Source organism: Homo sapiens, chromosome 7 (assembly GCF_000001405.40).
Source record: "Homo sapiens chromosome 7, GRCh38.p14 Primary Assembly".
NCBI lineage: Eukaryota > Metazoa > Chordata > Mammalia > Primates > Hominidae > Homo > Homo sapiens.
The window spans coordinates 114,526,163-114,538,638 of NC_000007.14; the positions used below are offsets into that span (position 1 = coordinate 114,526,163).

The window sequence follows — 12,476 nt, forward strand, 5'->3', positions numbered from 1 at the left end:
TTTCTTTATTAAAAAAAAAAAAAAAAAAAAAAAGGGCCGGACGCAGTGGCTCACGCCTCTAATCCCAGAACTTTGGGAGGCCAAGACGGATGGATCACGAGGTCAGGAATTCGAGATCAGCCTGGCCAACGTGGCGAAACTATGTCTCTACTAAAAATACAAAAATTAGCTGGGCGTGGAGGCACGCGCCTGTAATCCCAGATACTCGGGAGGCCGAGGCAGGAGAATCACTTGAACCCAGGAGGCAGAGGTTGCAGTGGGCTGAGATGCGCCATTGCACTCCAGTCTGGGCGACAGGGTGAGACTCTGTCTCAAAAAAAAAAAACAAAAAAAAAAACACAACAAACAAAACCCCTCAAACTGTAACTCTCTTTTATTTTAGTCTTCACAGAAGTAATCAAAACAATTGTTTGCACTCATGGCTATGGTTTTCCCCATTAATTCCCTAGTAACTCTCTGCAAACTACTTCTACTTCAGTACCCTATAGGAACTGATATCTGATAGGTCACATACAAATCAGATCAACATGAACTTTTCAACAAATCTTGACCTTTTTGAGTTTTTGATGTTTGAAGATAGTATCATTCATCCTGTCCTCTCACAATTTTTTAATATATAACAACTTTATTGAGATATAATTTATGTATCACAAAACCTACCCTTTTAATGTATACAATTCAGGGAGTTTTTAGCATATTCACTAGGTTGTTCAACTATCACCACTGTTTAATTCCAGAACATTCTCATCACCCTAAAAAGAAACCCCATTCTCATTAGCAGTCACTTTCCATTCTATCTTACGTCTGGGCCCTTGTAACCACTAATCTATTTTTTTTTTTTTTTTTGTCTCTTTAGGTATATCTATTCCAGGCATATTATACAAATGGAATGATACAGTATATGATTTTTGTTACTGACTTTTTTTATTTAGCATAATGTTTTCAAGGTTTATCCATGTTGTAGCAGGTATCAATATTCCATTCACTTTTATGGACAAATATTCTATTAAATAAATATACCGTATTTTATCTATTCATGAGTTGAAGGGAATTTGGGTTGTTTACATCTTTTGCTATTATGCATGATGTTGATATGAACAATTATGTTCAACTTTTTGTGGGAATGTAAGTTTTTTTTTCTCTTGGGTATATATTGTACCTTGGGTGGAATTAATGGATCATGTGGTAATTCTTTGTTTAACCTTTTCCAGAAATCTTTTGGACTTCTATTACTGTGCCGTCCTCACAATTCATTGTCTTCCTTTTCACTATTTCCTCATCTCCTTTCAAGAAAGTATTCTGCAGTTTGGGGTCTTGACTCTTCCTCTCTCTGTGGTGTCTTTACCAACAATCTAATAAACTCCCTTTGCCTTAACTATTCACCTATGTCTTACTTTTGGAAATCTGTTGTCAGTGGGATCACTCTGATCACCCTCAACCTAGAGCTCTGCATTATATTTACTGTCTACTAAAGAAATCTTCTCTTGATTATTCTGCCATCAGGCAAACAGCATAATCTTCTCTCCAAAGGCTGTGTTTTATAATCTAATTTCCTCCCTTTTAGTAGTGGCGCAGCTGTTCTTTCAGTTTCTTTTGACTTACAATTTTGGAGTCATCACTGACTCCTCCTAGCCTTTACCTCATACCCATTTACTAAGTTGTGCCAGCTCTTCTTTGACAGTACCTCTCATGATTCTTGTTTTGAACTAACATGATTCATGTTATTCTTATCTCTTATTTGGACAGTTGCACGTACGTTTTTACAAGTCTTTATACCTCTGTCTTGTCTCACTCTCTTCATCCCTTATCTATCCTTTACAACATGACTTCAGTATTGTCCTGGGCCAGGCTTATTTTATTGCCAGATTTCAGCAAAATTTGTTCTTACCTGCTATATAACATGAAGACTCTTTGTCATTTATTGTTTAGTTTATCCAATAATTAGCCCCAAACAATCTTCTCACCATGTTTTACTAGTTCCTAGACTAAGCGTATGCTCTATCCAAGATCAATTATTTTCTTTTCACTATATATAATCTCACATTTTCTTTGTTCCTACTTGGCATGGCCTTCTGTCATCTCCACGAAATGATTCTCATGTAACTCCAGCCCAAATATTATATCCTCCATAAAAATTTCAATGAGCTTCTCAACAAAAAATAATTTCTTTTACTTATGAACTCCTGAAGCATTTTTAAAACATTGTCTATGGCCTTTTGACATTCAACTGGATCTTTCTTATTAAACAATAAGCTTTTGAAGATAGAAACAATGTCATATCACCCCTTCTATCTCCACAAGTGTGCAGTGCTTTGTTCTTTGCTAGGTATATGGGATATAGTCACAAACATTTTTAAGGACAAACACTTTTATGTATTTTATTCTTCCAAATATTTTCCCAAATGCTACTTCTCCTACAGTCTTACTTTTAAGTTGAAGAGCATATGCAGAACAGAGGATTCAAATAATAGTTTACATTTACATATTGTAGTATAATTTAGTAGCATGTATTTTTCAGTTAATATCTGATATACTGGTTGAAATCATAGCAATACAGCAGTAATGAGTCTTCAATACATATCCAAACAAAAGATGATATTGGTCTCATAATGAAAAAAAAAACCCTGCTAAGGTATGTGTAAAACAAAAAGTAAATCTAAAATCTATTTGGGAAAATAATAAAATGTTTTATAGCAGAAAGATAAATAATCAAAAGAATGCACAAAAACTATTATAGTTACTGGAACATGTCCCATGATAAACAGAAGTTGTAAAAGCAATAATTTTAGTAAAATCAGTCCTAATTTATCTTTACCTTTCATTCCTTAGAATTTTAAAGTTGGACGGAATTCATTAATATGTATTTAAAATTATTGTAGGTAATATTAGGATATTACATTAGCAATTTATTACCATTAGCAATAGAATAGTGAAGAACATAGAGCTAGGAATATCAGGCTACTTGATGTACTGCACCTTATAGAATGCTGACTCTGAGGAAGAGAATGTGTTCTCCCTTTTAAACTCATTCTACAGCTGAAAAAAACAAAATCTGTCTTAGATGTTAGTTACTGTTAACTCACAGGCTTATTTCATAGAATTTCTGAGGTCATCTGGGGGTTTGGAGCCATAATGAAATATACTGAATATTGGGTTTGGACTTGAACCTTGAAGAATTTATTCTCACTTCTGAGGATGACTTGAGGATCCATTCCATCACACATTCAATACCCTGATTGTCTCTCCTTTGGCTCTACATCATAAGATATTTGATTGGTAAATAGGATGCTTTGTAAGTAATTACTCTTATTAAAGTACTCTTATTATAGTGTAGTATTATTTTATAATTATTATACAATAAGTAGTCTTAGTATCTCAATTTGGCCTCCATAGTGATGTACAGTGTAAATATATCCACACATTAATTTTCTAACTTTATGTAACATATACTGTAAAAATATCATTTTAAAAATATTCTTTAATAATTAGCTTTTAAAACAAACAGTCTAATTATGTATCAGGCATGAAAAAATAAAAGGTCAATAGCTACAGATGCATAATTTCACTCTGATAGATTGCTATTTGAAAATAGGTTATGCCAATTAGATGATTAATTTTCTTCTATTAAATAACATTATGAGACTTCGGATTACATGTATCAGTATATTCTCTTTAGTGGGAACATAATATGAAGAAAGGCCAAACAGAATACGAATTTATATCCTTTCTGGAAGGATCTGAATATACTTTTTATCAACCACACTTGGGAAGATAATTAGAAAATTAAACTCTGTTTGAAAACTTATTTTATGTTTCGTATTCAAAGTAACATGTTGAAGACACAATGTGTTAAAGGTTAAACTATATGAATATGAGGAACAAAAATCTGGGTGTCCTGCTGGCAATTTTTTTTTGGTTCTGGTTATCTGCAAAGTATACACCCCTTGTCAGTATAACTAGGGAGTGACTGTGTAAACATTCTTGTTTCGCCTGTTCCACATAATCGTTTCTTGTATCATATTTCTTCTGACCTCACTATCTGAAACCAATTACAGGAGATCCATTTGGGCTGCATCTATTTTCATAAGAAGCCTAGGCAACAGTGTTTTTCTCAGAGATGAATATCAACATCAAATATGCTTCTGAGTGCTTTGTTATTTATGTTTCAGAGAGATTTTGTAGCCTTCAGCTCTCAAGAATGTGTCACGCTGTGCTGTTTATACATTGAAGATATTAATGGGCGTAGATGTCATTTTTCATTTTAATGTCTCAAATGCAACAGGCTGATAGGTTAAGCATTCCTATTTTTATGGGGAGATATATGACTGATGTCTGTTTTTTCCCCTAATATACATATATTTACTTTGAAAAAAAAGTTATTTATAAACCTTAGCATACTCAACATTTTTTTTGTTTTACTGCGTATTTCTAAACTATTCTCAAGTAATTTTATATTTGGTGAAAGTTTTCAGTGTTCTTCAGTGGAAAAAAGTATTTATCTGGCAGGTTACAAAGCATTTTCATCCTTAGTTAATTACACAATGACCTACTCATTAGAATTATTCTGTGAGGTTCATAACTAGCATAAAATTACTACTAGTGAAGAAGTATGCTTGAACTTTGCTTTTCTTACAAAAATTTAGTTAAAATTGCACAGTAAGAGTTAGGAATGATGTTTTCAGTAAGTATTTTAGAGAAAAAATGCACTCAATTATGAAAAATGTGCATTCCCACATCTCTGCAGCCTAACAAAATGTTTACCTTTAATCTCTTATAAAGATTATTTCTTTTTTCAAATTTTTTAATTTAACCTGATTTCAAATTTTAAGATGTCTTACCTTAATTTTCTTTAGGTTTCCTAAAATAGGATAACTTCATTAAGTAATGTGCACCCCTAATTAAAAACAAATGTGTTTTTGGAAACTAGATATGGTTTGGCTGCCTTCGAAATCTCTTTCTTGTTTCTGATACATTGGAAACAGACTCAATCATTGTGAAAGGAAATTTTGTAAACAACTTTTGCTTTTGTTCAAAATTAATTTTTGTGGGGGAGGGTGACCATCTAAATGACTAGATGGCGCAGAGAACTTTATGAATGGCCCTGGATTTAATATTTTGTTTGTATTGATAGAAGTGGCAAGTGATTTTTAAATTAATATTTGTGTCATTTGACACCTAACATTTTATATTGATGGAAGTGTTTTATCTAATAATCTTTCATTTTTTGAGTGGCTATAATAATAAATTGCAAAGATGAACTAAATGTCATCTAATTGCTCAGAGACCTGAGCAATTGTTTATTGAAATTCAGTCCTAAAGTGTTATCCAGAATACTGGAAATAAAAATGTCATATGATGCATGCAGTGAGAATGCAAACTGCCAGAGCTTTCTGCTTATGAGTTTTAAATCATTCCTGATCTCCTAGAATTGTTTTTTGTTCTCCCACCTCTTATGTTTACTATAGCAGTCTCTACTCTACCAAAAGAATGTTGAAATAGGAAAGAAGTTATTTTTTCTAAGAGTTTGTATTAAAAGATGATCCTCAGCTATTTTGGAGATAATGCATATGAAAACCAAAATACTTTAAAGTAGAAGCATTTTTTTAGCCAGCTATCTTGTGATATTTCATTACTATTATTACTCCTTTACTAACAGTGTAGGTGTATGCTTTTGACTAGTGATACTTTGATGAGCAAAACTTGTAATATATTTAATTTTCTAGTGTTTGTCTACAGACATTACGTAGCATTGACATATTCCATTGATTACATGGGTTATGTTGAATGAATATAACGCAGGTTGGTAAAATGGATGGGGTCCTGAGCTTGGGAGAGAAGAGCCAGAGTTTTTGACCAGGTTCTGCTACTGCTTTGTGACTTCAATCAACTCATCCTAGTATTGTTTCTTCAGTTACTTGTTTGAGAAAGGTAGTCTAGACAGTTTCTAAGGCCTTGTCCAGCTCTAGAATTTTGCAGTTCTATAGTAATAATTGATCAGATACTCAGGATGTTACAAAAGTTTAGAGTTCCATCAGGCATAAGGGAGGTATTAATATAAAATGAAATCCGAGTTAAGGATGATGAGGGCAGTAGCCATTAAAACAGTATATATTGTGTGATAGTTGTTCTATTCGTTTACAGATTCAAAACAAAAAGGTTATATTGTTGTTTCCCATGTAAAGTCTGAAAAATGAATATGCTCTCTTTACTAGTGAAGAATAACTCATTATAATGTCATATATTCTCCTTTACTAGAGTCTTACTCATTGCCTACTAATGATTCCTTTGACAGAACAGAAACAGTATGGCACACTGGAATACACTCAGGCCTGGAAGCCAGCAGACCTTGAACAAAGCATTCATAAATTGCTTTGTGATCTTGAACAAAGCAACTGACTATTCTACGTTTCATTTTTCTTATGTGCTAGAATAAGGAGGTCAGATTAGATGATTTTCAAGATAGCTTTTAGTCCTTGTCATTCATGATTCTAAGATCCTAAACAGTGTTCAATAAATTTTTTAAAGAATAATAAATAGATAACTACATAATTTAATATAAATTAAGGCAACAGGTATACAAAATAAACTCATCAACTCGAAAAGAAAAAAAAACTACATGAAAACAATTAGGCATTAACTGGAAAAATAATCAAATGCATTTTTTATTTTGAGAATTTCAGAGACACAGCCTGGGACACCTATTGTAATTTCCATTTGGAAAATTATCATTTGTAGTCACTTTATAAGTTACAATTAAAAGAGGAAAGATATATTATTTAGAATATTGAATAAAAAGTTTCAAATAGTGAGCCTTGTGATAATAAAGTAATTACAGATTTTTTTGTTTGTATTTTCAAACTGAGCTCTATAATAAATAGCCTGAGTTCACTGGAATGTGCCATCCTTAGAAATATTTACGTTAATTTGTAATTACTTGAAAAGTTAAAAAACAACAACAAAGATGATTATCGTGAGTGAGTGTGTCTCCAAATGTAAAAAGTGTGCTTTACAAACTATGCCAGATCCTGCTATCGGAAGACAAATCAATGTTGTTAGGAGATGGTGCTAGTGCATTCAGTTTGTTTACTTTGGTTTCTATGTCTGCCTGCCTTCTCAGAAAACTTGCTTGGAGCCAGACTGTAGCAGCCCTCTCTGTCTTTTCATAATTGATCAGGGGATGACTGCCTTCCCTGAGGGTTAAGACGTGGCAACTTTTTCTGTTTGCTCAGCATCTCAATGCAGTAGTTCAAACATTGTTCACACCAGCTGGCAGTGTAATGCCATATGCACATCTTGTCAAAGCAACTGTTGTCATGGATACTAGAAACTCTCTTAAAAACCAGATCATTGATTACAATCAAAATTGTACTTTTTATCAGCTGAAATTCTTAATTATTATATAGGAATATTAATCCAATAATGTTTTCTCATTGTGAAAAATTTATCTTGTATTCAAAAACAGTAAATAACATATTAGGCCAATGATTTAGTTTAGTTTTATGTGTTGAAAAATTTCATCATTAGTGTTCATTGAACTCAGTTGTTGAGAGAGAAAATGAATTTTTTAAGAGACTCTTAAAAGTTTTTGTTAATTAGTGTATACTCCTACCTTTAGAAGAATTTACTATGCATTTTGGTCTATGGCACTAGCTTTTATATGTTAAGTTTATATAGTACATTTACTGAACTGTTCCTCCTCCAGTAAATGAAATGCTTACATTAATTTCTTATGTTAAGTTTTATTTTCCTAAGTGGGAAAGAAAACATAAAAATAAATGAAAACATCTTCTATTTTGATTGGTATTCTGTCACACATAGAAACAAACCTGATTGGTTGAGTGGTAATTTCTTTGTTCTCTGATTTTGCTAAGAATGCAAATGAAAACCACTCAATTTTATTTGGCATTAAAACTGCACTTTATTTTGTCAAAGGAGAGGTTTCCCCTTGAATTGTAAGTACAAAAAAAGTGTTTTTAATCTTTAGTGAAAATCCTTATTAATTCACTTTCAAGATAATCTGATGTTGATTTGTCAAATTTAATTACAGCTTCCGGTAACACTTGAAGTCTACTGCTTTTGCCTCAAAATTGTAATATGAAAATGCAAATTGAATGATAATTTAAAAGGGAGTGGGCATTTTAGTTAACACTCAAAGACAAGTTCCTTGTGGAAATGAGGTTATTGATGCAGTTTATGATTTTTATCCTCTTTAAGCACTTTAAACAAATTAACTTTATTTCCTGTAGGATTGCATGTTTCTCTGTGATTTGGAGTAAAAAGTTATATATGTGTGTTTGGCAATTTTTTTCATATTAGAAGATAAACAACAATGATTCTCTCTAGAAAGGAATATGGGAGTTCTTGTACATTGAAGCCTTTTACTATTAACCAAGAGATAATTGATAACTTAACTTTCAACAAAATATTTAGATAAGGTTTCATTTTTACTTCTAGGCTCTCCAGGCAGCAAGACAACTTCTTTTACAGCAGCAAACAAGTGGATTGAAATCTCCTAAGAGCAGTGATAAACAGAGACCACTGCAGGTTAGTAAAGCACTCCTGTCCTTGGGGTCTTATTTTAAAAGATGTTCATAATGATAACAGATGTGCAGACCCACTTGTATATATACAGGAAATTATTACATTTGCATATGTAGGTAATTTTAATTCATAAAGAGAATTCATTTTATCTTCTTAAAGGAGAAAAAAATAATATTCTATTGGCATACATTTTAAAAGTTTACAAGGTAACTCCTTGCAAAAAATACATAGGAACCATATTTGGTGTACATAGGCATAAAGAATTTTGCATAAAACCCCCTTGTGGGATTTTATTCATACATAGGTTGAAATGTAAAATTTTTTTCTTAAAAGCAAAGTTATAGTAAAATGGTGTGGAAGGAAACAAAGAAGTCTTAGACAACCCTTCCGCAGTTGTATCCAAGTGACAAATGCAGAAAACTTCGAGGATTGCCAAAAAAACTGTTTGAGTTTGCCAAGGAGTTATTGCTGGTGCTACAGTTATAAAAACACATTCTGGAGTTTGTTGTCCTTACTCACTATGTTTGTCCTGTGAAACTGATAGTATGTATGTCTTTTAAAGTAACTTTTGTTACATAATATAATCCTTGTTTTATGCAGTCTTCTTAACCAAAATATGTGGGACATTTTCTTGGTGGGGGGGGAAACATTTTTAAGGTATATTTTTTGACTGTTTGGAAGGTAAATTCTGGAATTGCATAAAACATCTCTCAAAGTGTTCACCAGCTCTGTTGAAAGATAAGTAATGCTTTTTCCTGAATCATGTGTTATATACATGTCTAATAAGGCAAATTTAGTTTTTTAACATCTCTTGTGGCTTTAACAAAAAAAACAAAACAAAACAATTTTTTATGGCCCAGCTGTCTGTTTTTATTTTCAGGTGTACTTACAGATGTTAGTAACTAAGTCTTACATGATGGCCTTCTGGAGCTTAGTTTGTATAAGAGAGAATTATAAGCTACTGATCTGTACAATCCAAAAATTAGTTATTACCTAAAAACTGGATAAAATGTATGGTCCCTAAACAAATTTGAGATAAGAACCGATTTTCCTGGGAACAAAGTCATCTGTGGAGGGTGGATGAGAAGAAGAGGGACTTGGGGATAAGGGATGTTTCAACAGAGTACAGATGTCTGCCATGACTGGAAATGAAAGTTTTATTTAATCACCCTGAGTTTAAGATTCTTTTCAGTTTTTTTTTCTCTTTTAAAAGCAACTTCACATTCCTTTGTTTTAACTAATGAATAATTCTGTGTCACTTTCCTCACCATCATATTCTTCCCCAATTTATAATGGGAGCGTAGGTGTAGTATTTCCATGGAGTTATCTGATTGCATGAGAGTCTCTTCATGCATTTACATGACAGAGAAAAATTTACATAGAAGTCACAGAAGATAGCAAATGAAATGTTTATCCTCACTATGGCTTCAGAGTGGGAATTTTGCTTTCTTGTTGGAATAGAAAAGGAGAATTAGATGCTGGCAACATAAGCAAAAGATAGGAATGAAGTTACTGTTTTGAGTGTCTAAAAAACACTATATATTTTCCTAATTCTATTTTATCATATTTCTTGACAAAATAGAGGAATTCGCAGTTGCTTCTTCCTCTCCAAAGCTAAGTCCAGTAGAAGTTTCTATATTGCTGGTTACCAGGGTATCTCTGGAAAGAATGGCTGGGCTTTAGTTTTTCTTTTCTTTTTTTTTTTTTTTTTTTTTGTTGTTGTTGTTGCATTGAAAGGCAAGATTTGATACTTGGACTAAAATATACGTACTTTTCCTTACAAAATACCCACAATAGAATGTGGGAATATTAATGGCTCTAAAATAAGAAATTGTTGTTTGTTTATCAATGCAGAAGTAAAATTTTGAGCAGAAGTGTCCAGTCTTGTTGTTTTAGCATAAAAGAATGATTAAAACTATTATAAATACCTTTTAACAATTGCAGTTGCTGACCATGACTACAAAGACTTTCATTGTGTCACTTGTTTTTCATTTTGTGATGCATATTAATCTGAATTTATCTCCATTGTTTAGACTGTAAAACTAGCATTTCAGTATTAGTTTGTAATTTTAATGAGATCTCATGCCAAAATGTCATAGGAACGAGAAGTTGAGTTTTATGAATGAGAATTTAGGGATATTGAATGAGACTTATTCACCAAAATATACACTGCAATTAATAAAATGTGAGCCTTCATTTTTAGTATTTCATAGGACTTGATAAGCTTAGCAACTGGAGACACGCTGGGATTGTATTAAAACTCCAATAAAAGCTTAACAGCATTTGATACTAGCTTACACATCTGTTGTCAAACAGGAATATTAGGTAATGCTTATCCTTGTATCTTCAAATATTATTTAGCATGAGTTGCACTATTTGCCACTTATGTTTTTAAAAAGGGTACGATGTTTTCATTAAAATTTTCAATAATTTGATATGAAATTAGCATTTTAAAAGTTTTCTTATATAATTCTCTCAAAATTTATATCTTTTTCTACTTAACCAAGTGTTTAACCAAACATTCATAATAGAGTTAGTGTATTATCTTTACATTTCAAAAGGATAATTGAAAATGTTTCAAAATCTGTAGGTGCAAGGCAAGATATTTGGTATTAATCGATTATGATGGTTCTTAATATGTCAGGCATAACATCTTTAGAGAACCAAAAGAGATACTTTGTATTTTTTATTTTGAAGTATAGTTTTGATAGAGAACTATTTTATAAAGTTTGAAAGAAAATACAGATTTCAAAACCTGTTTTGATGGCTCAAGTCACAAGAACAATATTCAGTTGCTTGTTAACATTCACCTGAATTTCTTTTCTCTGTTAAGAAGTGGTGGCCAGATTTGAAGTGTGACATGGTACAGAGTCTATTTTTAGTAGACTAGTATTTATCTACTATTATTTTTTCATTTACATTTGTTCAGGATTTTGTGCTACAGATGGCATAGATATTAGCATGTCTAATGCAAAATGGAAAGAAGAAAACATCACATCTGACAAGCTTGAGTGCCAATTGTAGTAGTGATTTCACTTTCATGTATAGATATCTGAATATATGTATTTGAAACATGTTTACATAATCTCATTACATGAAACACCAATTGAATAGGTGCAATCAGCAAGTACATTGATTAATGGCATATTGATGAATAATATATAAAGATTGTGATGCAAATGGGAGCCAATATTAACTTAAGCATTACCAGATGTTTCTGCTTTACATTCTTACTGTGTATACCAGAAAACATATCCTAATAATAACAGCCAAAGACAGCTTCTCACTTTAATTTGTTTTATTTATTTAAATCTACTCCTAGCACTTCCTAGACTTGATATGTTCATAGTGATCCATAATGAGGAAAGTTAGCCAAAAAGAATAATACTTAATCCTTTCAATTTCATGAAACTAATTTTCAGTTTAGAAAGAGTAAGTTAACACATCACCCCACACACACATAAATGCCAACATGCACATACACACATGCACACTTCCATAATCTGTAAATTTAAAAAAATTTTTGTAAAATACATTTTCAATTTTCTAGCCTATGACAAATCTACTTAATTTAGTTTAGATATGAAAATTGGTCGCATTATTGTTCTTGTTACATTTACAGCCATGAGACAGACTTGTGGTTCTTCAACAGCTGTGCAGAGCAGAGACGTAAATTTAAGGTAAATGCCATTGCTTTGCTATCTTAGATGAATATTAGTTTTTAGCATTGTAATCACTTCCTTCATTGTAGGTTAATATATAATATAAAGTTCTCCTTTCTAATAGGTAATTGAATTATAAAATTTTTATAATTCTGTCTTAAGAAGTTCAAGAATGGAATAGTAAAAAGCAAAAGAGAATTAAACTTGGGGGTCTTATTCTGACTCTGCCACAAATAGTTATATAAGTCTGAGGAAGTTACTTGACATCTTTAA

The 12,476-nt window shown here is 31.9% G+C and overlaps 1 protein-coding gene across 8 annotated transcripts in view; it reads left to right on the forward strand.

Moving 5' to 3' along the window:
• FOXP2 (forkhead box P2) overlaps positions 1–12,476 on the forward strand; it is a 607,439-nt gene that overhangs the window by 439,836 nt on the left and 155,127 nt on the right. For 6 of the 8 annotated variants that reach the window (NM_148898.4, NM_148900.4, NM_014491.4 and 3 more), the window contains one exon: positions 8,455–8,544. In NM_148898.4, the coding sequence (NP_683696.2) occupies positions 8,455–8,544 (90 nt within the window). Of the gene's footprint in view, positions 1–8,454; positions 8,545–12,163; positions 12,222–12,476 lie in introns of all 8 variants that reach the window. The other 2 variants (NR_033766.2, NR_033767.2) reach the window with 1 other exon arrangement.